General features: G+C 43.5%; 1 long non-coding RNA gene across 1 annotated transcript in view; it reads right to left on the reverse strand.

Annotated features, from left to right (window-relative positions):
* Positions 1-17,565, reverse strand: part of LOC105372093 (uncharacterized) — a 176,501-nt gene extending 158,936 nt beyond the window's left edge. Inside the window, exons 1-4 of the long non-coding RNA XR_935423.3 lie at positions 17,476-17,565; positions 15,444-15,488; positions 12,835-13,003; positions 2,646-2,886 (exon numbers count right to left, since the gene is read on the reverse strand). This is a non-coding gene — a long non-coding RNA (uncharacterized LOC105372093). The remainder of the gene's footprint in view (positions 1-2,645; positions 2,887-12,834; positions 13,004-15,443; positions 15,489-17,475) is intronic.
* Positions 17,566-25,857: the final 8,292 nt, after the last annotated feature.

The following is a 25,857-nucleotide window of genomic DNA, read 5'->3' on the forward strand; positions in this document are numbered from 1 at the left end:
AGGCTGGTCTCAAACTCCTGACCTCGGGTGACCTGCCCACCTCACGCCTTTCCTTTTTGACCCAGCTGTCGCCATGTGAGTCCAAGGCTGTGTCAGAGGCCGTGTTCCCCACTATGTGGGGAAAGGCCAGGTGGAGTAGGAGAGAATTAGACAATGGGTTAAGTGAGGTAGGGAGAGAGAGAGTGTGTGTGTTCTAGAAGCCTCAGTTCTCTCGTTCTAGTCCCAGAGGTCACCAGAGTTTCCTGCAAATCCACTTTAGGTTCTATGAGCTTCCTTACCTTTTCTACTTAAGCTAGTATAGAAAGTATAACTGACACTTTCAACTAAGAGTCTCAACTAATTAACCAATCCTTAACATTTGAGTTAAACTTTCTTAAACCCATGGTTCTTTAAAATACTTTCTCATTCTGTTTATATATCCTCCCAACAGAATAAGAGAGAGAGAGAGAGAGAGAGAGAGAGAGAGAGTGTGTGTGTGTGTGTGTGTGTGTGTGGTTTAAAACAATAGAAATTTATTCTCTCACAGTTCTGGAGGCCAGAAATCCAAAACTAAGGTATTGCCAGAGTTGTGTTTTTCCCTGAGAAAGAAGATTCCATGCCTGTCAACTGGCTCCTGGTGGTAGTCAGCAATCCTTGATGTTCCCTGGCATTTCCTGGCTTGTAGTGGCATCACTCCAACCTTTGTCTATATCTTCAGATGGTTTTCTTCTCTTTGCGTGTCTGTGGCTCTGTGGCTCCATGTTTTCCTCTCTTTTCCCTTACAAAGATGCCAGTCATTGGATGTAGGGCCCACCCTAATCCAACGTTACCTCATCTTAACTAGCTACATCTGCAAAGGCTCTGTTTCCAAATAAAGTCACATTCTGAGGTTCTGGATAGACATTAGCCTTAGGGGGCACACTATTCAACCTATTACACATATATAATATGTCCTACCATTGCCCACTTGAGAGGGCTTGGTTGTTTTACATGCCAAAAGCAGTGAGCATACCTACCACTAAGAGCGTGGCTTCTAAATGCCATTCTTAAAACCTGCACATTCTCCACATGAATCCCAGAACTTAAAGTAACAACAACAACAAAAAAGAACCAAATAGTGATCGAAGAATGATCGGGGAAAACTGAAAAAGACACAGAAGTCAGTTTGAAAGAACTTCCACTGGCTAAATTTGGGACAGTTTGAGCATGAAAATAAATAATAACAGTAATATGTCCTCTCAAATAATATAGAAAACCATGAATCAATACTTATATACCTAAATACATACATACAAACAAACATACATACATGTGCTAATTGAAAATAGAGATATTTGTCATTCCTTTTTCAGCAAATATAATTTCATCCTATGGATATATATGGTAGTTCATTTAAGTGTTCTATTACTGATTCAAGTTAATTCCAATGCTTTACTATTTTAATAGTAATGCAATCCATTTTTTATTTTATAATATTTTAGACTCAGGGGGTACATGTGCATGTTTGTTACATGAGTATATTTTGTATTTGTGGGGATTGGGCTTCTACTGTACCCTTTACCCAAATAGTGAACATTGTACTCAATGGGTAATTTTTCAACCCTCGCCCTCCTCCCAACCTCCCCCCTTCAGGAGTCCCCACTGTCTATTATTTCTATCTTTGTGTTCATGTTTACCCATTGTTTATCTCCCACTTATGAGTGAAAACACGTGGTATTTGATTTCCTGAGTTAGTTCACTAAGGATACTGCCCTCCAATTCCATCCATATTGCTGCAAAGGACATGATTTCATTTGTTATGGCTGCCGAATAAATTCTATTGAGCTTTATTTTGTATTTCAAAATACAGACAATTTAACCAATTAGAATTAAGTATGACTGCAACTAGCATAGACTCAAAGTAATAGTGGGTAATTTCTTTCTCCTATTTGGAAAATCTGGAGGCAGGCTGTCTGTGGCTGGTGCCCCACCAAGTAGTTGAGGACCCAGGCTTTTTCCCTCTTTCCCAAGAGGACCTCCCAGTCTAAGATGGTTCTGGATCAGTGGCTCTTCATCAGGGATAATTTCCCCCCTAAAGGACAGTTGACAATGTCTGGAGACATTTTTATTGTCATAATGGGGACGAGGTGCAATGGCATCAAAAAAGTAGAGGCCAGGGGTGCTGCTAAATGTCCTACAACCCCTGGCAACAAGGAATTATCTAAGCCCAAAATGGGAACGGTGTGGAGGTTGAGAAATCCCGTTCTCACTCCATCTATCACACCTGTGATCCAAGAAGCAGGTCAGCATACAGAAGAAAGGGGCAAAAGGCATATGCCAGCTGACTTAAGAAAAGTTTCTAGAAGCTGCCACACAATTCCACTTATATTCCATTCACCAAAACTTAATCACATGGCCACACATAATTGGAAAATATAGTCCTTATTCTCAGCAGCAATGTGCTTAGTTAGAAATTGAGGACCAAACTGTCAGTCTTTGACATAGTAATTATACTGGACATGACTTTTCAAATTAAATTTACCTTCCTCCCCTTGCCACCTTTCCCATGACTGACCCCCAGCAAAAAAAAAATCATTCCCCTCCCTGCCAAGAAGTGGTTGCTTTTCTCCACCGCTGCTTTGAGAGTTATTGCCTTAGGGAGAAAGAATGTCATCTTGAACCATTACCTCAAAACTAGTTGAGATTCTTTCTTGCTTCATTGACTTCACTTGAAAAATATTTATTGAGAGCTTTAAAGTGCCATGCACAGTGTCGAAGGCAGCTTGGCACCTCCCACAGAGCCAGCTCAGACGCAGGCATGGAACCAAGCAGACCACTTGGACATCATGGCCAAGGCAAACCTAGAGCTATCTGTGATGAGATGTCTCTGTTTTCCCCTAGGGAAAGAGAGGTCTTGCAGGAACACACCTGTGGAAGAAAGAATAGTGCAGTCAGCAATCCCTGAGGCCAGTTCTGAACCCACTACCAGTTCATGTGACCTCGAGCAAGCCATATCCTACTGCACCTCTATTTTCTCCTTTGCAAGTCTAAGGCTGGGATCCAGAGGTTTCCCAGGCCAGCACTGAGCTACCTACATGAATCAACTTGGAAGTGTGCTTAAAATGCAGATTCCTGGGCCCACCCCAAATTCTGATTAAGAAACACTATGGTGGGGCCTGATAATTTATGAGTTTTTTCTTAAGTGTATATGTTCTCATGCCCAACAGCTGTGAAAATTACTAGACTAGTAGAAATCCTTCTTAGCTCTAACAGTCCAACATCTTGGAAATTAGAAACAAATCCACATTCATGAGAAAGTACCTGTAACATTTCAGGAGACACTACACACTCAGATGTAAAATGAGAGCTTGCAAAGTCATAGAAAATAAGAAGGCATCATTTCTACCAAAAGCATTACTAATCAACTGCTTCAAGACTGGGAAGTCATTTTCTATTACTGGCATAGAAGAGGAATAACAACATTATAAAAGGTACTTTAAAAAAAGATGGATTTTCTGAGCTCTGAGACTACACTGAAGGAAAATAAGCCATAATTCTATGTCACTATGAGCCCATAATTTTTGCCAGAAAGAGAATAAAAGGAGTCAGGTCTTCCCTAAACCTACTTGCTAGAATAATCAGGCATAGGGATTAGCTAAAGGATGCAGAGAAGCCCTCTCTACATCTTCCCCCAGCACCAAGAAAGCTATGCCAGCCCTTGGGCCCAACACAGCTTTGATCATTAAAGAATCATGCCAACAAAGGTTTGGAAGCAGTGCACCTAATGATCTGAGTGATATTCAAATTTAAATTGACATAGAATGAAGAGAAAATAAAAGCCTTGTACAGGTCTCTGCATCTTGAGGTCCTACATTTGCACATCTCACTACCATCAAAATAATCAAAGTACAATGAGCTCTCGAATGAGACCTAGAACAGACCTGGAACATACAGATTATCAAAGGCTTATCCAAGAAGACATCTGCAAAACTGAATTCTGAAGGCTTAATACGTGTTAGTCACAAAAGTGTTGGAGAAATTGTAGGATACTGGCCAGGTGAACTAACACACACCAAGATCTGGAAGAAAAGCATCAAATGAAGTATACAAACTACAGGTAGTTCATTCATTTGCAACCTATCCCAGAGTGGTGAATGGTGAGGCTGGAAAAGTAAGCAAGGCGAGAGCATGAGTGGCCTTCATTGCACACAAGTACAGGAATGTGGGCTTTGTCCTGAAGGCAATAGAGAGGCACTGGAAGGTTCAAGGCTGGGGAGCAACTCTAGCTGCATGTAGAGAATGGGCTGTAGCAGAGCAGTATTCCAACTAGGGAGACTAGTAAGAAAGTTAGTGCAACACTCCAGGTAGGAAACAATGAAAGTCTGACACAAGAGAATGGTAGTGGGACGGATAAAAGGAAAATTCCCTAAAGCACTTTGAGTTGTAGAACTAAGACTTAGTGATTGATTTCACTTGAAGAATAAGACAAAGGGGATAGTCAGCAATGACTACTTCGGGCACCTGAGGTGGTGACAGTCAGTGAAAAGTCAAACACAGAAAGGAAGCAAGTTGCAAAGGTTGGGGCAGAAGAATCCAAGTAAAGCCTCCCAGGAGGCAGTTGACCGTAATGGCCTGAGACTTAAGACAGTGATTTAGGCAGCAGATGATAAATCAAACCACAAGCCAATAAAATGACCCCAGGAAAGAATTAAGAGTGAGAAGAAGATGAACATAAAACCCCAGGGAAAAAAATCAGCCTTTAAGCTGCAACAGAAGAAAATGGGCATAAGAAAAGCTAAGAGTCACCAGAGAGGCAGAAGGAAAACTATGAGAGTGGGTACTACAAAATTCAAAGGAAGAAAAGATTTTAGGAAAGGAGTGTTAATCATGGCCACTGTTTCCAAAAGGTTGTCCATGAGATTCCACAATGAAGAGGTCCCTGATGATCTTGGGAGGCACAGCTTGGAGTGGTGGGCGCAAAGCCAGAGAGCCTTAGATTTAAGAGAGAATGGGAGGTGGGAGGTAGGAAGTGAGGACAATGAGTTGGAAAACCTTGGTGAAGCGAATCTGTAAAGAATTTAAAAGAGGGAGGCAACCAGTGCTGGATGGGAGACGGGAAGGTGATTCTTTTAAAGATGGAAGACACTTGGGACAATTTAAAGGACTGAAATTTACTGAGTATTCATATGTGACCTCATTTGAACCTCCTAATATTCATGAGGAAGTTTTCCCATTCTGCAGATGTGGAAACTGGAACTGAGGCTAAGTGACTCAGAAACATAGGGGAAATTGATGGTGGGCTTTGGAAGAAGAGATACAGCCATTACTTCCTTGCCTGAATTCCCACTGCCACTTCATCATGCTGGAGGCACAAGGCAGGGAGGCATGGAGAGAAAGACGGAAAAGAGGATTGGAAAGGAAGACTCACAGTGCTAAGTCCCCATTAGGTGCAGGAACTATTAGAAACTTACTTATTACTGCATTAGCCTGTTCTCACACTGCTATTAAAGACATACCCAAGACTGAATAATTTATAAGGGAAAGAGGTTTAACGGACTCACAGTTACATGTGGTTGGGGAGGCCTCACAATCATGGTGGAAGGTGAAAGGCATGTTTTGTTTTGTTTTTGTTTGTTTTTTGAGATGGAGTTTCACTCTTGTTGCCCAGGCTGGAGTGCAATGGCGTGATCTCACCTCACTGCAACCTCCGCCTCCCCGGTTCAAGCCATTCTCCTGCCTCAGCCTCCTGAGTAGCTGGGATTACAGGTGCCCACCACCACACCCAGCTAATTTTTGTATTTTTAGTAGAGACAGGGTTTCACCATGTTGGCCAGGCTGGTCTCGAACTCCTGACCTCAGGTGATCCATCCACCTTGGCCTCCCAAAGTGCTGGGATTACAGGCGTGAGCCACTGCACCCGGCCTGAAAGGCATGTCTTACATAGAAGGAGGCAAGAGAGAATGAGAGCAAAGTGAAAGAGGAAACCCCTTATCAAACCATCAGACCTCGTGAGACTTATTCATTACCTCAAGAACAGTATGGGGGAACTGCCCCCACGATTCAATTATCTCCCTCCTGGTCCCTCCCACAGCATGTGGGAATTATGAGAGCTACAATTCAAGATGAGATTTGGGTGGGGACACAGCCAAACCATACAAATCACCTTTAATCAAATCCCACTAACCCCTCAAGGAAGACACTATTATAAAGTTTGGCTTACAGTGAGTAAGAGCTCTGAGGTTGAGAAAGGTTACACCTTCACCAGGTCATGCCACCAGTAAGTGACTGCATCTGATGTCAACTTGGATCTGCAGAAATTAAGGTGTCCTCTCACCGCTTCTAGCGAGCCCTTCATTTCAGAGTCTCAGGCACTCTCCTCCAGCAACTCCACTAGTCTCCACATCACCCCTACCCCCACCCCCACAGTAGACTATTTATGAACACTGCTTTCATTCCAGTCTGTGCTCACCCAAACCCTACATGGCCTCATGTCTCACACCGGGGTCAGCCCCACAGTGGCATGAGACCACGTGCCTGGAGGAACGGAAGCTGAAGAATACTTCACTGGGTCCTTCCCTTTTACTCAACGGTAAGTAATTTAAAAGACTATTTTTATATGAAAAAATAAATCTGAAGACATTGCTGAGCCAAACACAAAAATTACATGAATTTCTGAGATGAAATATGAGACTTCCATGAGATGTCCTGCTTGTGGTGCAGCTTTGGACTCCAGCAAGTTCCTGTTTAGAATATTTCAATGGAAATTCATGAAAAACAACTTAAAACAGGATAAAGGGCTTATGGTGGAATTTCAGAACTTCCAGTCCATCCCACTTGCTTTCCAGGCTTAACTAACCCCACTTCCCCACAAGAACCTTACTCGATACTCCTACTACATCCCTTCAGCTTTCCCCTTTATCTCGGCTTCCCCTGCAGCCTGGAATGCCCTTCTTCTACTCACTCATCTGAAACCTGTTCACCTTCCATGAAGTCCTGTAGGATCACAGTCATCTCCCTTCCACTAATCTCCCATGTTAAGCCAGCACTTGTCACTGCTATCGTGCATTGTTATATTATCCATCTGTGGTGTAGGGCTTGTCTCTCTAAGCTGCTTAATAATAGGGATCGTGTCTGCTATATCCTTGGGCTTCCACACATAAGCAAGATAGCTTTCCCAGAGAAACAAAAACAGCAGCAGCACCAACTTATATTTAATAGGTACTCATATATATGATCTCATTGGAACTTCATAATAATACCATGAGGAAGTTTCCCTACAAAACTGACACTTAGAGAAGCTAAGTGACTCTTGCAAGGCCATACAGGTTGGAAGAGACTGCTACATTCTGGCAGCAGAGCCTGTGCCATACTAAGTAGGTGCTCAAAGAATATTTATTAGTTGACTTTTTCCACTTCTTCCTCTTAAATGGTAGCAGAGTACCATTAAGTGATCTTCATAGACTCCATAGAGAATAGCAGAATCATCTAGCAGAGCCCCCCCGCTCATTTCTGACCCACAAAATCACTAGACATAATACAATGGGCTTATTGATTTAGGTCATTACGTTTCTGATTAGTTTTTCAAGTGGCAAGAGAAATCTGAAAAACCCTCATGAGTTCTGAAGCAAATTTCTCATAGTTGGCATTTAACACAATTTTTGTATTATCACTGAGCACACATTAGGCAAAGTCTGTCCTAGTGCATTCTCAGTTCATTGTTGATGCCCTTTCCCAACAATCCAGTTCTCTCCAAGGTCCTCTGAAGATCCCCTCTCAGATCTTCTTCCCTCAAGATGCCCTAAACCTTAGAATCCTTCTGGTCTTATGCCTCTCTTCCTTCTTTCTTCTTTTTTCTTTCTTCTCCTCCTTCTCCTTCTTTCTTTTCCCTTCTTCTTCCTTCTTCTTCTTCTTTCTTCTTCTTCCCTCCCCCTCCCCCTCCCTCTCCCCCTCCTTCCCTCTCCTTCTCCTTCTCCTTCTTTCTTTTTACCCAGGCTGCAGTGCAATGCCATGATCTCAGCTCACTGCAACCTCCACCTCCTGGGTTCAAGCAGTCCTCCCATCTCACCTCCTGAGTAGCTGGGATTACAGGTGTGTGCCACCACACCAGGTTAATTTTTGTATTTTTAGTAGAGACAGGGTTTTGTCATGTTTGCCAGGTTGGCCTTCTTCCTTCTTTACCCTTCTATTATCCTTCCTCTCCTCCCATTAAAGTGTTTCATTTTAAAGGAATAATTTTTTTTTAATAGAGTCTCACTCTGTTACCCAGACTGGAGTGCAGTGGCTTGATCTCAGCTCACTGCAACCTCCACCTCCTGGGTTCAATTAATTCTCCTGCCTCAGCCTCCTGAGTAGCTGAGATTACAGGCAGGTGCCACTAAGCCCTGCTAATTTTTTTGTATTTTTAGTAGAGACGGGGTTTCACCAAGTTGGCCAGGCTGGTCTCGAACTCCTGACCTAAAATGATTCACCTGCCTCAGCCTCCCAAAGTGCTGGGATTACAGGTGTGAGCCACCATGCCCCACCTTAAAAGAAGAATTTAGTAGCCCTAAAGAATCTCCAAGGTGAAGACTAGAAGAGAGAAATCAATGCAGCATTTGTGTAGAGACCTAGGAGGAGAGGGCCTGAACACCAAGCAGTCTCCCTGGTGTTTCTTCTCCATCTTCTATTCATAGCCTTCTACACAAACCAGAAAAAGATCATCAATTTTACACCAGATGTGAGAAGATGCCCACTCCCACTGCCTCCCCCAGTAGTAAGTCCTAATTAAAACTTGCTACCCTCTGAATCTAAAATGATTTAATGCTTCCTTTCCTTTGAAGTGATGATATTACAGATTTTATTATCTTTTCAAGGAGAAAAGGTCTGTTAGAATAAATAAAGCCTTAGTATATGAAGTAATGTTCAGAGTGTCTTATCAACTTTAGTCTTCCCCTGGGAATCCTCTCTCTTCCCCTCTGCTCACCACATCCTGTCCTTCTCTTCCAGCCCTGCTCTGATTATTAACTAAGAACCCATAGAAACTAAGGTTTCCTTTAGCTCTCCCTAAATGGGGTTTGAATAACCCACTAACCATGTTTAAACAGGTCTTCTTAATCATAAACATCACCCTAGAAGACAAACATCACTCTTCTATTATGTGGCTGCCCATAAAACCCAGACAGCTTCCTGTTTCTCTGTTTGGACCTCATGTGCCTGCCAAAGGTATGTGCCATTTCCCAGTGGCTTTGAGGGAGGCATAAAAGCCAGAGCCCACAGGACTGTGTTACTCAGTCTTTGTCTTAGGTCTCAGGTGGGGCCAGATAGGGAGGGGAGTGTCACATCTTGTTGCATTACTAAGGCTGATGGTCACCCAAAATACAAAGATAGGACTGTATCTCTTGGAGATGAAGGTTCACATGTCAACATACACCTCCCACCTATGTCAGTCTTCCCATCCCCAACCTTGGTCATGTCATTCCTCACCTCACTTCCCTCCTACTCCACTTCCAATGTGGAAAGGACCCCTCTTCTCCTGTCCACCCAACTAATAGCTACCTAGCCCACCAAAGTACACTTCAAGCCCCACCTCCTTTCTGAAGCCTCCACTGCCCACTCAGGTGACTTTCTTCTACCATTCACAGATGGTAACATGTGTGTATCATTCCTACCTAAAATGCTGGAGAATGGTATGTTAACTCTTCCTGTGGTATTTGTTTTCCCAACATTATATTTAAGTTCCTGGAGTGCAGAAAGTGTGTGCTGTCCATGTTTGAATGCCCCACATGCCTAATGAAGGACAATGTAGATGGAAGACCCATGAGCAATATACTGAATCAATTAAAGAGACAGGGCATGACATTGTTCAGGCAGCTGTTAATAATAATAATAAAATTAGTTGCTATTATTAAGCCTGTCTTAAACTGCAGAGAACAAGACAGACACAGGGGATGACCTACAAGCTTCAAGACTCAGAGAATTCAACAACCTTAAGAAATACCTCCTGGGCAGAATGCTGTATTTGGAAGGTTGGAAGACTCTGAGCTTGAGAACCCTGAAGAAGGCGGAACTGTTGGGTTGCCGGCAGCCGGGAAGGGTTTGCCTGACACTCTTGGCTGGGCGGGAAGAAATGGGGGGAAGGAGAAGGGCGGCGCACTGGGCTGCTGGAAGCTGGGTTCCTTCCGAAGGGACGTTACGCTACCGTCCGTAATATCACCCCAAGCCCTAGCATTCTCAGGAAAGTCGCTTATGAAGCTATGACTCAAGTGCCGCAGTGCTTGGGCCCACGCTTCGCAGCGTGGAATCAGCGGCGGGGCGCGGCGGCACGAGGAAGCTGTGCAAAGCCGAAGGGGCAGCCTCAGACCAGGAACCTTACCCGTCTGGCGGGTCTTATGGCCGAGTCACCGTGGCGGCGCGGCAGCTCGGGCCCGGTTCTTCCGGGCGGGCCGGGGTGGTCACCTCTGCAAAGCAGGGTTTCTGGGCCGTGATCGAGTCTTGCTCACGGGCATGTCGGGAAACGCCTGCTGCGCTCCCTGCCTGAAAATCCACTCTTGAAAATGCACTCCCTTAGGTTAAAACGCTGCCTTTCCTAAGGACCTTCTTTAAAAGTAAATCCTAACATAAGTTGGTGCAACCAATTTCCTTCCCTTACAGACGCTAAAAGCAGAGCACTGAAGGGGTGGGATTCTTGAAGGGGAGGGAGGGAGGTAAGGCTACTGATGATCCTGGAAGGGACAGCTCCACTGCGAAGGGTTTAGGGGAAGGCGGATATCAGCTCTGGTTGCTCGGTTAGTTTGCCCTATTTGAGCTGACGACTTTCGTTAATGAATTTCACCTCTAGTGCTCAGTGGTTTATCTGAAAGAAAAGGCTGGACTAGAGAAGTGGTTCTCAAATTGGTCCCCAGACCAGCAACATCAGCATCAGCTGGGACCTCGTTAGAAATGAAAACTATAGGCCAGTCCTAGATCTACTGAATGAGGGACTCAGCGGAGAGCCCAGGAATGTCTTTCAACAGCCCTCCAAGTGTTTCTGATTCATGCTGTCATTTGGTGACAAACTGGACTAAATGATCTGGCGAGTCCCTTGCACAGAAGAGAGCTGATACTTTTTAATGTGGTTCATGAGGCCATACAAGGCCCTCACTGATGTGGTCCTCATGTAACTGTCCAGTCTCTTAAGGCAACAGTCTTTCTCATCTACATAAAACTGATAAAACTTTCTCTAAAGAGATTTCCTCTTTGAAACCCAGGCTTACATATGCTGCTCTTCCTGACATAGCCTTTTTCTTCCATTACTATCTCCTATTTGTCCTGTAAGACTTGTTTTGTGATTATCTCTTCCAGGAAGGCCATCTCACACCTCCCAAGGTCAGGTGTCTCCCTTCTGTGTTGTTGTAGCACCTTGTAAATGTTATATCCATTTACCACCTTTATCAGGTCACCCACCAGACTGAGCGAGGTGTGAGCAGAAACTTGTACTTCTGCACGTTCAGTGTCTGACACAATGTTAGCCACTACAGTAATCATCAATGCATGAGTGAATGAATGGATGAATTGAATCCTTTTGTCAACTGAGGGCTCAGATAGTGGCTTTCTGGTTCTTTTTGATCTCTAATCATTGATAATTTAAAGCTCTTCGTGTTACCCCAATGATTTGATCAATGCTTATTACTGTTAGTAATTTTTTTTTTTTTTTGAGACGGAGTTTCACTCTTGTCACCCAGGCCCGATCTCGGCTCACTGCAACCTCCACCTCCCAGGTTCAAGTGATTCTCCTGCCTCAGCCTCCCGAGTAGCTGGGATTACAGGCACCCACCACCATCCTCAGCTAAATTTTTATATTTTTAGTAGAGATGGGGTTTCACCATGTTGGCCAGGCTGGTCTCGAGCTCCTGACCTCAGGTGATCCACCCACCTCAACCTCCCAAAGTGCTGGGATTAGCCACCACACCCAGCAACTGTTAGTAATTCTTTATAGTACATTACATAATACAAATTATTTCATATCCATTAGCCCATTTCAACTTCTCATCAACCTTAAGAATTAGAGTAGGTATTGTTTTAATCATTTTAACAGCTGTAAAACAACTCACAGATATTAAATGGCTTTCCATGGTTACCTATTTCTGTAAAAATTATTTACACAGAGTACAAATAAAACACAAAGTGTCTCCTTGGCAAGGCATAGTGATAGACACATAGGAGTTAAAAACTTATTAAAGACATGATCCTTATCCTCAAGGAACCTCTATTTTAGGAAAAATAAAACATATTCTCCAAATAGCCACAACGTAATAAGTGTATAATAAATCCAATCTTAAGTGAGTCATTCCATTAAGGATTTAGGAGTTTGGTGGACAGAGAAACTGTGGGTGGCAGAGTAGTTAGGGGAAACATGATTGGGGCAGAGGCAGAAATTGCATGATGACTGGACAGAAAAGGATGTGAACAGATATGAGAAGAAAGCCTCCCAGGAGCAGAGAATAGACTAATAAATGAACAGAGACTGGAACAATCAACATTGTCTGGGGCAGTGAATATATCTAATAGCTGTAGCAAATAGCAGAGATGCTATGAAGGGGAGCTGTGAAAGTCAAAGATAGAACTGGTGGTGGCACTACATATGCCACTGAAAGTGGGCTTGATGGGAGGATTTTTCATACTTTTATTAGGCTATTAGTGGCCACTCTTGAAATTACAACATATATCATTGATTTATTAAACATTAATGTTAACTCTTAATTTTCCGTCCTCCCAGACAATGCAAGGACCTTAGAACACTTTAACTCTATTACCTCCCTCCTGACTTGCTATCGTTATCATGGATCTTGAGTATGTATTTTAAACCCCACTAGTCATTATTATTTTCATTTTGCATAGTCAGTATTCATTTATATTTACCTGTGTTGTTTCCATTTTCATTCCTCTTCAATTTTTCCTTCATCTCCAAGCTTTCATCTGGGATCTTCTCTTTACCCAAAGAATATCTGTCAGAATTTCCTTTAGTGCAGGTCTCTTGGTGGCAGCTTCTTTCAGTTTTTATTTCACTGACTTTATTTTACCATGATTACTGAAAAATATTTTTACTAGGTGTAGAATTCTAGATTGGCCAAATTGAAAATATCATTCTACTATTTTCTTATTTCTGTTATCATTTTTGAGAAGTCTGCTGTCATTCTTTTTGTTCTTGGAGATGAGGGTCTCACAGTGTTGCCCAGGTTGGAGTGCCATGGCTAGTCACAGGTGCAATCATAGCTCACTGCAGCCTCGAACTCCTGGCCTCAAGCAATCCTCCCACCCGCCTCAGCCTCTTGAGTAGCTTGGACTACAGGCAGGCACCACTGCACCTGGTTTACCAGCATTCTAATTGTTGCTTCTGTCTATTGTCACTTGTCTGCTTTTAAAATTTTTCTCTTTGATTTTGGTCTTCTGAAATTGGACTATGATATGTCTAGGTATGAGTACATTTTATTTATGCTGCTTGAGATTCGTAGGATTTTTATCTGTTTGGGGGAATTCTCAACCATTATCTTTTCAAATGCTCACTCTCTTCTCTCCATTGGGGATCCCATTTGAATAGGTACACATTTAGCATACATGCTGATCAAACTGCATATGTCTCTGACTCCTCTGAATTTTCATGCTTTTTCCTGAGTTAAGTCTGGATAGTTGCTTTTGACCTTTCTCCTAGTTCTTTCATTAACTGTATTTATTTGCTGCTAAATACATCATTGAGATCTTGATTTTGGTTATTATATTTTTAATTAGAGTGTTTCTAGAGGTTCTCTATCAAATGTGGACAATTACTTTTTATAGCTTCCAATTTCCAATCCTTGCCAACAAATTTCAAGTTTGGCCTTTACTTTCTTTGTTTGTTTTTGTTTTTGTTTTTGAGACGGAGTCTTGCTCTGTTGCCCAGGCTAGAGTGCAATGGCACAATCTCTCCTCACCGCAAGCTTCACCTCCCGGGTTCAAGCGATTCCATTCCCCTGCCTCAGCTTCCTGAGTAACTGGGATTACAGGTGCCTGCCACCACACCTGGCTAATTTTTGTATTTTTAGTAGAGGTGGGGTTTCACCATACTGACCAGGTTGGTCTCGAACTCCTGACCTCAGGTGATCCGCCCACCTCGGCCTCCCAAAGTGCTGGGATTACAGGCGTGAGCCACCACACCCGGCCAGGTCTTTGTTTTCTTGAGTATATTATAATGTTGCTTTAGAGTGCCTGGTAATCCCACTGTCAATAATGACCATGAATATCTTTCTGTTACTTCTTGTTTGTGCTGTTCTTTGAATGTTGTCTTCATTCCTCATTTGCTTGGTTATTTATTACTGTGTGTTGAACATTACGTTTGAAAAAGTATCTGTAGAAATAATGTGAGACTTAGGATGATATCTTCTTCTGGACATGATTTTCAGTTTCTATGCCAGGCATCTAGAGACACTAGTAATCCAACAAAGATTGCTTCAATTCAAAGTCAAAGCTTCAAATTTTTTGAGCCACCCAGATGACTAAGGCTAGAATCCATGTGAAGTTTAATTCCAGCTTAGTCTGACAGTGCAGCCCTTCGGGGCCCCAACTCTGAGTGCCAAGTAGTTTACCAGGGTCTCCACCATGGAAAAGAAAGGAAGCAGTAGATTCGAACTTATGGGCACCTAGCCACCCACAGTTTTCAAAAACATGGCTCATCTCTCTGTCTTCTCTTTAGATGAGCCAGTGCCCCCTGGGCAAAAGTAGCCCTAAATGCCAAGCTTGCCTCTCTAGAGCCTCATTGTCTCCTAGATCTTGGCTTGCTTCCTCACTATCTTATTAGCTTTTGATATTTTAGGGAATTTTTTTTAAATGTTTTCTCTGAATTTGTTAGTTGTTTTCAGAGGGAAGGTTGGCCCATATTAGCTAGTCTGCCTCTATTAGAAGCAGAAGTCTGATATGGACTTTGGATAGAAATGAGGATCAGAAGTTTTTAAGAACAGAGGGACATGGCCAGGCACGGTGGCTCATGCCTGTAATCCCAACACTTTGGGAGGCCAAGGCGGGTGGATCACGAGGTCAGGAGATTGAAACCATCCTTGCTAACATGGTGAAACCCCGTCTCTACTAAAAATACAAAAAATAAAAATAAAAAATTTAGTCGGGCATGGTGGCAGGCATCTGTAGTCCCAGCTACTCGGGAGGCTGAGGCAGGAGAATGGCATGAACCCGGGAGGGGAGCTTGCAGTGAGCCGAGATCATGCCACTGCACTCCAGCCTGGGTGACAGAGTGAGACTGTCTCAAAAAAAAAAAAAGAGGGACATAAGCAGATAAATGAATCAGAAAGCAGTGTGTATGAGGGGGCTGTTGCAGGGGTCAGTAAAGAGATAAGAATGGAAGAAGATGATTCTTTTTATTGGTTCCCTTGCTTCAGCCAGCATAAAGGATCAAAGAATTTATTGGGCTAATGCTCAGATTGTACTTCTAATCCCAGTTAAACCCATGGGATTTCAAAAACAGGCAGTATTGTTTAACTTACTTAGTTGTTTCCTTGTTGGAGAGCCTTTGATTCCAACTGCAAACTCTGCCAAGAGAAAAGAGAAACCTAAACCACAGATGGATTAATCCCTACTCTAGGAGCACTGAACCATTGTCCCTGCTCTCAGAGAACCGCCTGGAGCAATGCTGGGGCAGTGGGTGAGTTCAGAGGATCGAGGCTGCACTGCTGAGACAGAAACACCAGTCAAGGTGCAGTGCCCTATGCTGTGGTCCTCTGGCTGCCTGCCTTTCAGGGCTATAGGTGCTGGAGCTTTTGAATAGGGATGATGGCAGACCCTGCTGCTTGGGCAGCATAGCACCCATCCTCTACCTCCTTTCCCTTTACTTCTTTCCATTAGAGAGGCTGCAGTAGCTAAATATTCACTCTCCCAATATACCTGTATCATGGAGTGGTCATGTGATACAGTTCTGGCCAAGGAGATGTAATCAAAAGTTTGGTAGGAGAGTTCTGGGAAAGCTTCAGCTTTGCTAATAAGAGACAGATGGGGCGGGCACTGATCTTGGTATTGATCCTAGACTTGAATGCAGATGTGTCATATAGAGTTGAAGCAGCCTTTTCATGACCATGAGGAGACATGCATGAAGGAAAGGCCCAGAAAATCTCCAAGGCACCAGCCCTAACATTGCTTTTCTCTTATGTGAGAAAAAGAAACCACTCTTGTTTCAAGCTACTGTGGGTAGGCTTTCTATAATTTGCAAACAAAAACACTCCTAATTGATGCAGGGAGATTCCTAATGCCAGGACCCAGCATCTGAGCAAAATCATCTTTGGCTGTAGAATTAAAAACATGATCAAACAGCAAATATTGACCAAACTTCTTGTGAAGCCAGCACTGAGCTAGGTGGCACTATGGAAATCACCAAGGTAGCAGGCACTGAAAGCATTCACAGCCTAATTAAGAGAAATAATTTAATACAAATGAAATCTCATGATCAAATGTTAGAAAAGCCTTTAAGATGATCTAGTGGTTTCGGACATGTGTCAGCCATGATACCATCCCAACACCATACAGAGACTCAATGTGTAAAAAATAAAAACTGCTTCATTTTAAGAAACCTGTGCAATTGGCCCCTCCATATCTTTGATGATTTGTGGCTGAAAATTTCTGAGTAGCACTGCAATTGATTTGACAGCTGAGGAAACTGGGGTCTCCATGCAGAATGGAAGCAACTTATTCTAGGAGATGTAACAGGTTTGCCATGGTGCCTGAATGAAATCTACATCTCCAGGACCATTTTCAAGGCTGTTTCCTTCCAAACAGTGACCAAAAGAAGGGAGTGGATTATTACACAGTAAATTGGAAAGCAGCAGCAATAATTGGTACAGGAGACCAAAGAAAGGAGAAATTAGCATGACCAGAATTAACCAAAGCAAGCTTCATGGAAGAGGTGGGACTTGAATGAGGACATGAAAGTTGAATAAATTCAAAATGGGTCAGTGGTTCCATTGGCCCCCAGGAGACATTTGCAATGTCTAGAAGCATTTTTGGATGTCACAACCTGGGATGGGGGGTAGCATTTAGTGGACAGAAGCCAATGATGCTGCTTAAAGTCCTACAATGTGCAGAAAGTTCCCCATAACAAAGCATTATCCAGCCCAAAATGTCCCAATAGTGCCCAAGTTGAGAAACCCTGGAATACATGGAGAGAAGGCCAGGCAAAGGGAATGGTGTGAACAAATGCAGAGGTATACATGAGCAATGAGTTCCTTGAGCAGAGACTGTGTCTGTCTTATTCTGTGTATACCAACACACATCAGTGGCTGCCTGATTGGTAGTTATTTGCTGGATGAATGAATAAACACTGTTCATCTTTGAATTCTACCCTAGCACTTTGGCAGCAAAGAACTTTGCTCAGAATAAGAAAAGCAGTCAGCCTCATCAATATTTCTTTTCCTGATTTCCCCTGCCTCACCTGTTCCTCATCCCAAGTTAAGAAAGGAAGGGAGTACCTCTTATTCATCCTTCTAAACTCATTTACATTCTTACACCCAGGCTTCTCTCAGTACTCACCAAACTCCTTTGCTACCTGGGTCTCAGAAACAAGAGAAGGTACCAGCCCTCCCACTCACTGAGCAGACAGATGACCGGTGCCAGGGAACTGTGTGTCTATTTGTACTCATAACAGCTCTAGGGGACTCCCAGCCTCATAGCCCAACCTCCCATTTACACACTTGTAAATGGAGGAGGGGAGGGAGAGTGGGGTTTCTGGTCCTCCTGGTGCCAGTATGTTTCCAAGATGAAACTTAAGGCCCCAGAGAGTCCCACCCTCTTCTGGAGGGCTCTTTCAGGTAAATAATAGGTGCCCTGTGGGCCCAGATCCACTGTGGATTTTTAATGCATATCCTGGTAGGAGATGGTTCCTTGAAATCTAATTGCTTCCAAGACCTTAATATCAGCCATTTTATTGTGTACAAAGAATGCTCAGGAGAGCAAATGTGAACATGGGAAAGCCCATACCTCAAGGCATCTGGCTCAGTAAACAGTGTGTTCAGGAAACAGCAAAGGATTAAACAACCGTCAGGGCATCCATAGCCAGGACTCTTCGTCTGTGGTCTGCTGTACTCCGATTCCTTATGATCCCCACTCCTACTCCTCACTCAGCCCTGTTCCTTTACCTCTTATCCAAACACTTCCATAAGATTTCCTATCAGTCACTGACCCCTCAGTCTAGTATAGCTCCAAGGGACTAGATTCTCCTATCTCTGGTTCTAGAGAAAAACTTTATCCTTCCTAAAATGAGTTTTAGGCTCTGAGGCACAGGAGACGGTGAGACTTTGTATAGTGCTTATGACAGTGCTTACTTGAGGGAATTCTTCCCTGGATTCCTGAGATTCCTGAGTATTACTGCCTTCTTCACAGAAGCCCAACCCTGATTCTTTCAGATGGACTTATCCCTATTCCTCACATCCAAGCAGTATCAGATCCGAGAGGCTAAATAACTTGTTCTGGGCCAGGGAACTAAGTGCCCAAAACAGTAGTTCAATCCAGACCTGCTCCACCCTAGAGACGGAGACTGTAATACTCCTAAACTAGAGGAATGGGAAGTAGCACCAAAGGGCACAAAAAATGTGCACGTGTATGAAAATCTATTAACCTGAAGAGGCTGTTATTTCAGTGAGGGTATGAGCAAAAACGGAAATGCGCTCATGCTAGAAATGCACACACAAACACATCCACAGCCAGATCAAAAGCATGGGATTCCTCCCTTAATAGACCTCCTAAAATAAATTTAGATGCATCAAGCTGGCAGATGGAGATGGGAAAGGGGCCTCCCCAAGAAGTCAAGTTCTGCTAAAGCTGCAGTGCCTAATAAGGTATTATCTTGCCTCTCTGATCATTTAAGTTAGAAAAGGGAGGCAATAACAAGAGGAAGTTGTATGGTTTCTCAGTGTTTATATCTGAGTGAAAAGAAAGAACCAAACAGAGTCATGAAAGTGACATCCTTGGGAGGCAGTGATTTCTCCCCTGCTGTTGAAAGTGGATTTTATTTATTTATTTATTTTTGAGATGGAGTCCCACTCTGTCACCCAGGCTGGAGTACAGTGGCGCGATCTCGGCTCATTGCAACCTCCACCTCCTGGGTTCAAGCAATTCTCTTGCCTCAGCCTCCCAAGTAGCTGGGATTACAGGCATATGCCACCACACCGGGCTAATTTCTGTATTTTTAGTAGAGACTGGGTTTTACCATGTTGGCCAGGCTGGTCTCGAACTCCTGACCTCAAGTGAGTCAGCCTCCCAAAGTGCTAGGATTACAGGCATGAGCCACTATGTCCAGCCAGAAGTGGATTTTAAAATACCATAGACCAGATATGTATAGAAAAAAAGAGAAAACTACATATAAAAATATTAACAACATTTTCCTTTGAGTGCAGAGATTACATTATTTTACATTTCTTTTTCTCTTTTGGTCATTTATTTTTTCTCTTGGTCTTTTTTTGGTCTTTTTTTCTCTTTTGGTCATTTCTTTTTATCTTTATTTAGAGACAGAGTCTGGCTCTATCACCACACTAGAGTGCAGTGACATGATCATAGCTCACTGCAGCCTCAAATTCCTGGGCTCAAGCAATCCTCCTGCCTTGGCCTCCCAAGTAGCTAGGACTACAAGCACGCACTGCCAGGACCAGCCATCTTTTGGTCATTTCTGGATTTTCACGGGTTTTTTTTTAATACTAAACAGAGATTGCTTTTATGATTACACATATAGGTATGTTTCAAAATTAATAATACATGAACAAATCCACAAAATAGAAGGAAGAGCTTGGAAAATTTAGATAGAAATTCTAAGAATAATGTAGACATATCCAAAGTCCAGAGTAAACAGGACTTATGAAAACTGCTAAAGACCCCAGAGAGGCCAGTCAAGTTATGCTCAGACAGAGCAGAAAATCAAGGAAGGGGAAGGCCCATGGCCCAAAAAGAAGGCTCCAATGTTGAGGATCGACAAAGAGAAAGCAAAACTCAGCAACATCTCTCTCCGAACACCTTGTCTCCACCACAGGAAACTGTCCTCAAGTTGGAAAGGGCCCAATAGACACCACCATGAATTCCAGCCTAATATGGTATTTTAATGAAGACTCTTGGATGCAAGTGACATAAACCCAACTCCTATCAGCTGACAGTGAGGAGGGAGGGGGTTTGGAAAGAAGGGCAATTGGTGTTACTTTCTGAATCAGAAGAACTGCAGGATGTGGGCTCCTGGCCAGAAAGAGCCTTGGCGAGTCTCAGCACAGTCAGGAGGCTGCCTGTCTCTCTCCGTCTTCCTCTGTCACTATTGCACTGTTTTGTCTTCTCCCTCCCATTTGCTTTCTCTCAATCTTTCTCATCTCTGCTTGTCTCCCTAGGCTTCTATCTTCAGGGCAGGAAGATGACCACCCACAGCCCAGCAAACCCAGGAGGGAGAGAATTTCTCTCTCCCAGGGTCTCTAGAAGAATCCCAGGAAAGGGGTCTGACCATACTTCAGTTTCCACAGTTAGAACCAATCACCATTGCCCAGAATTTGGGTTCCACAATTAGCCAGGCCCAAGTCATGCACACCTCCCTTTGGCCATGTACTGGGACTAATATCCATACTCAGGAGAAAGAACCAGAGAGCCCCCAGGTACTCTCAGTTTGTCTCCAGGCTCAAATATTTTGTACCCTATCATTTTAAAATAAATATCTTAAGTATCGTCAGATTTATCAACAGTAATACTTGGTAAATTATGGAAAATAGGACATATTTGAAAAGGAAACACACATTTCTTTAAAGGGGACAAGCCATGTTTTGAAAGACACTCTAAAAGATCCCTAACATAGGCCTGAGTCCCCTGACGCTTCCATGCAAATCTTTTTTCCTTCTCAATGGAAGCAAATTTGGATTAATGGTAGTCACTGTTTATTGTACTTAAATAAGGTACACCAAGGCCTTTGTACACCTTCCACGGAATTGGTTGCTTATGTGCCCCCAGGAACAGTTAGTAGAGGGGCAGTGCTGGCCTTAGGTAAGGCCCTGGACAAGGCTCTACTGGCTTTCCTACCATGGAGTGAGCTCCTTTGGTATCTGAGAACATTCTACTGGCTGGCAACCCTCACGGAAGGGCAGAAGCCAGGACAGCAATATTTGGCATTATAACGAAAGGGGGGTTGGTTCTGGGCATATGAGCTTTTGTACCAGTTGTAGCTCTTGTCAATAATAAAAATCAACTCTGGCTAACTTAGGCAGAAAAAGAACACATTGGTAGATCAGCCAGGTGTGGTGGCTCACGCCTGTAATCCCATCACTTTGCAAGGCTGAGGCAGGCGGATAACTTGAGGCCAGGAGTTCAAGACCAGCCTGGCCAACATGGTGAAACCCCGTCTGTACTAAAAATATAAAAATTAGCCAGGCATGGTGGCGGGTGCCTTGTAATCCCAGCTACTTGGGAGGCTGAGGCAGGAGAATCGCTTGAACCCAGGAGGCAGAGGTCGCAGTGAGGTAATATCATGCCATTGCACTCCAGCCTGGGCGACAGAGTGAGACCTTCCTCAAAAAATAAAAAAAAAGAACATATTAATAGATCATAGAAATGACTGGAATGCTGGGGAGCTAGGCTTGGAAGGCAAACCAGGGAGGCTGGGCAGGAAGTCATACAACCGGTACAGCCACAAGGGGCAGCCTAGTTGGGAGGGCACTGCAGGCACTGCCGGTTCCACTGGACTGTCGATGCCACCGTCTCTGGACTCTTGTCTCTACCTTTACTTATCAGTAACCTATAACTTGTCCCTGCAAATTGCATTGTTCCTTCCAGGCTCAGAGTCCAGGTGGGATCCTCCAACAGCCCAGACATAGTCATGAACCCACCCTAAGCTGCCAAAGGCAGAGAGAGAAGCTGGCCCTTTGCAGATGCCATATTGGGAAGGAAACGCCTCCCACTAAGTCGCACAAACTGGGGAATTCTCCCAAATAGAGATGTGACTAAAAGGCAGCTAAAAACAGAACAAAACACCACAGGCTAACTATGTGTGTCTTCAAAATCTGCAGGGCGAGATTGCTTCAGCAGAGCTCCTAAGGGCAGAGCTGAGTTTGGGGGGCAGGAGATTTCAATTTAGATGAAGAAAATCTCCCTCAGGCTGAGAACTGCCTGAAGGTAGTTCCTGAAGGGCAGCCCATCCACACCTCAACTTATTGACACAGTTCAGAACAGAGCTTCTTGCACTCAGCAAGGCCTTCAAACCCCATGTCTTCTTGCATCCGCTTGTTAGAGCATAAGCTTCCCTGAGAGAGAGGACCAATGTTTATTTATCTTTGTGTCTCATAGTGTCTAGCAGAGGATGCTGCACTGACAGAAACTGAACAAATTTGGCCACATAAAAATAAGCAGCCATTATGCTACATGATGGCAGGTCAGATTTTCCAATCATGTAGCTGACAAGATGCTCAGCAAAAGACCTCCCACACAGCACAACTAAAAATGGTGGATTTTTAAAAGATGCTTATGAGCCAGTGGGAAAGGAAGAGAATTCCACAGAGGCTAGAAAGATTTAAAAAATGCAAATCCGCCGGGCGCGGTGGCTCACGCCTGTAATCCCAGCATTTTGGGAGGCCGAGGCGGGCGGATCACGAGGTCAGGAGATCGAGACCATCCTGGCTAATGTGGTGAAACGCCGTCTCTACTAAAAATACAAAAAAATTAGCTGGGCGTCGGGGCGGGTGCCTGTAGTCCCAGCTACTCAGGAGGCTGAGGCAGGAGAATAGAGTGAACCCGGGAGGCGGAACTTGCAGTCAGCCGAGATCATGCCACTGCACTCCAGCCTGGGTAACTGAGCAAGACTCCGTCTCAAAAAAAAAAAAAAAAAAAAAATGCAAATCCAGGCCGGGCGCGGTGGCTTACGCCTGTAATGCCAGCACTTTGGGAGGCCGAGGCGGGCAGATCACGAGGTCAGGAGATCGAGACCATCCTGGCTAACACGGTGAAATCCCGTCTCTACTAAAAATACAAAAAATTAGCCGGGCGTGGTGGCGGGTGCCTGTGGTCACAGCTACTCGGGAGGCTGAGGCAGGAGAATGGCGTGAATCCAGGAGGCGGAGCTTGCAGTCAGCCGAGATCGCGCCACTGCACTCCAGCCTGGGAGACAGAGCAAGACTCCGTCTCAAAAAAAAAAAAATGCAAATCCAGTAGGTTAAGAACACACTAGAAGTCAAGAGCATGACACACACCTGTAGTCCCAGATACTGAAGAGGCTAAGGTGGGAGGATGGCTTGAGCTCAGGAGATAGAAGCTGGAGTGAATTATGATCACACCTGTGAATAGCTACCACACGCCAGCCTGGGTACAAACATAGACTTGCAAGACATGGCCTGTATGAGAAGAAAAAGACCACACGAAAGCAGCGAAAGAAGCACAAGAACGGAATGAAGAAAGCCAGGGACACTGCAAAGGCCAATATTGGTGCTGGCGAAAAGCCATAGGAGTAAAGATGCTACAGTGACATCATCTGCAGACATCGTGTGGATTTTTCATGAGCAGATTAATAAACTAAAAGCTCTCATGTGAAAAATAAAAAAAATTAAAAATTTTAAAGCAGTAATTCAATTCAGCAGAAAGAGAATAAGCTAATATATGGTGGTGGTACTGCTGCTGCTGCAACTATCTGGAAGAAAATTAAATGAACACATATGTCTTATACTATATATTTTTAACCCCACTTGAATTAAAAGGTTGACTATTAAAAGTAAATATGGTAGAGGCTGGCTAGCTCCTGACAAATCCTTTTCCTCTTTCTGAGCACTGAGAAAGACAGTTTCCAGCCTCTCTTCCACTTTGGTTGAGACCGTGGGGCTGGGTTCCATGCAATGGAATACAGGAGGAAGTAACAGAGAACACAAAAAATCCCTTGAGTAGGTGTCCTCTCTCTTGCTCCGTCTTCCTCTTCTGAAGTGACTGTGGGAGTCACATGTTGAAGATCCATCACAAATGGAAGGGATCTGAGTCCCCACCTCATTGCTCGGGATTGACTGTCCCACACATGGTAAGACTGATTGAAAACTAAGCCTCTCTTGTGCTGGCTACTGAGGCTTTGGAGTTGCTTGTTACCTTAAGTAGTACTCATTCCTGTATTACAGAAATGCAATAAAGATCTCACAAAGAGAATCTAGTAGACAATACGTTATTGGCTGAGTGTTTGTGTACCACCTCCAAATTCATATGTTAAAGCACCAACCCCAAGTGTAATGGCAGCAGGAGACGGGGCCTTTGAGAGGTGATTAGGGTCATATGAGGCCACAAGGGTGAGGCCTTCATGATTAGATTAATGTCTTTATAAGAAGAAGAAGAGATACCAGAGCATTCATGAGCTCTCTCACTCCCTCACTCACTTTCTCCCTCTTTCTCTCACTCTTCCTTTGTCTCCGCTATGTGAGGACACAGCAAGAAGGTGGCCATCTGCAAACCAAGAAGAGAGCCCTCACCAGAAACTGAAATTGCCAGCACCTTGATCTTGGACATCCCAGCCTCCAGAATGGTGAGAAATAAATTTCTGATATTTAATCCACCGAGTCTGTAGTGTTTTGTAATGACAAACCAAGCAGACTAAGACATGATGTATATGAAATAGCAGAGAAGGTCTTCATAACTAAGACTGAGAACTAGAAGCTATTTTTTAAAAAAAAAGATAGGCATATTTTGACTGTTAAAAATTACAAGGAAAACAAGAAAATTTTGTACAGTAAAAGATTCCATAAACAAACTATAGTTGTCCCTTAGTCTACGCAGGGGATTGGTTTCAGGACCCCCTCTTATACCAAAAGTCAGTCCTGCAGAACTGGCATATATGAAAAGTTGGCCCTTTGTATATGGAATTTTTGCATTCCATAAGTACTGTATTTTCAATCCACTTTTGGTTGAAAAAAATCTACATATAAGTGGAGCCATGCAGTTAAAACCCATATTATTCAAGGGTCAACTTTACAGTAATGCAGTTGCCCAAAGGAAAATATTTATAATACAGATGATATAAAGTTAGTTCTTAAAACATGCAAACAGCTCTTACAAGTGTGACAAGAAAAAGACAATCATCACAAAGAAAAGTGGACAAATCAAATTATTTAAAAACCCACAGAGGAGCAAACCCAAAAAGCCAGCAAAAATGCTCAAATTCACTCACAGACATGGAAATAAATGTTACATAGTTACAAAACATCACCGTATGCCCTTCTGATGAGAAAAGAAAATTAAAACTTAAAACTCCTATTGCCGGTGTGGATGCAGAGAAATATGTGGTATTTTCCTCTATTATAGTGGAAACGTGACATACTAGAATCATTTTAGATAGCCAACTGGGGCTTTCACTAAAATTAAAACTGTATGGCCAGGCGTGGTGGCTTACACCTGTAATCCCAGCACTTAGGGAGGCCGAGGTGGGTGGGTCACCTGAGGTCAAGAGTTTGAGACCAGCCTGGCCAACATGGTGAAACCCCATCTCTACTAAGAATACAAAAATTAGCAGGGCGAGGTGGCAGGCACCTGTAATCCCAGCTACTTCAGAGGCTGAGGCAGGAGAATTGCTTAAACCCTGGAGGCAGAGGTTGCAGTGAGCCAAGATTGCGCCACTGCACTCTAGCTTGGGTGACAGAGCAAGACTCCATCTCAAAAAAACAAACGAACAAAACAAAACAAAACAAAAACTGTATGCCCTTTGGCCTAACAATTCCACTTCTGGGAATCCATCTTATAAAAATAAAATTGCCAGTACATGAGGATATATGCGTGAGGGTGTTTCTTACAGGATTGTTCATAGGGGGGGGAAATGAAAACAAATGAAATTACCATTAATAGAGACATAGCTAAATAAATGTGGGTATACCCACACCATGAAATATTATGCCATTATTTAAAAGAATGAATAAGATAACAAATGGCTTAAAGAAGTCTTCA

Source organism: Homo sapiens, chromosome 18 (assembly GCF_000001405.40).
Source record: "Homo sapiens chromosome 18, GRCh38.p14 Primary Assembly".
NCBI classification, from domain to species: Eukaryota; Metazoa; Chordata; class Mammalia; order Primates; family Hominidae; genus Homo; species Homo sapiens.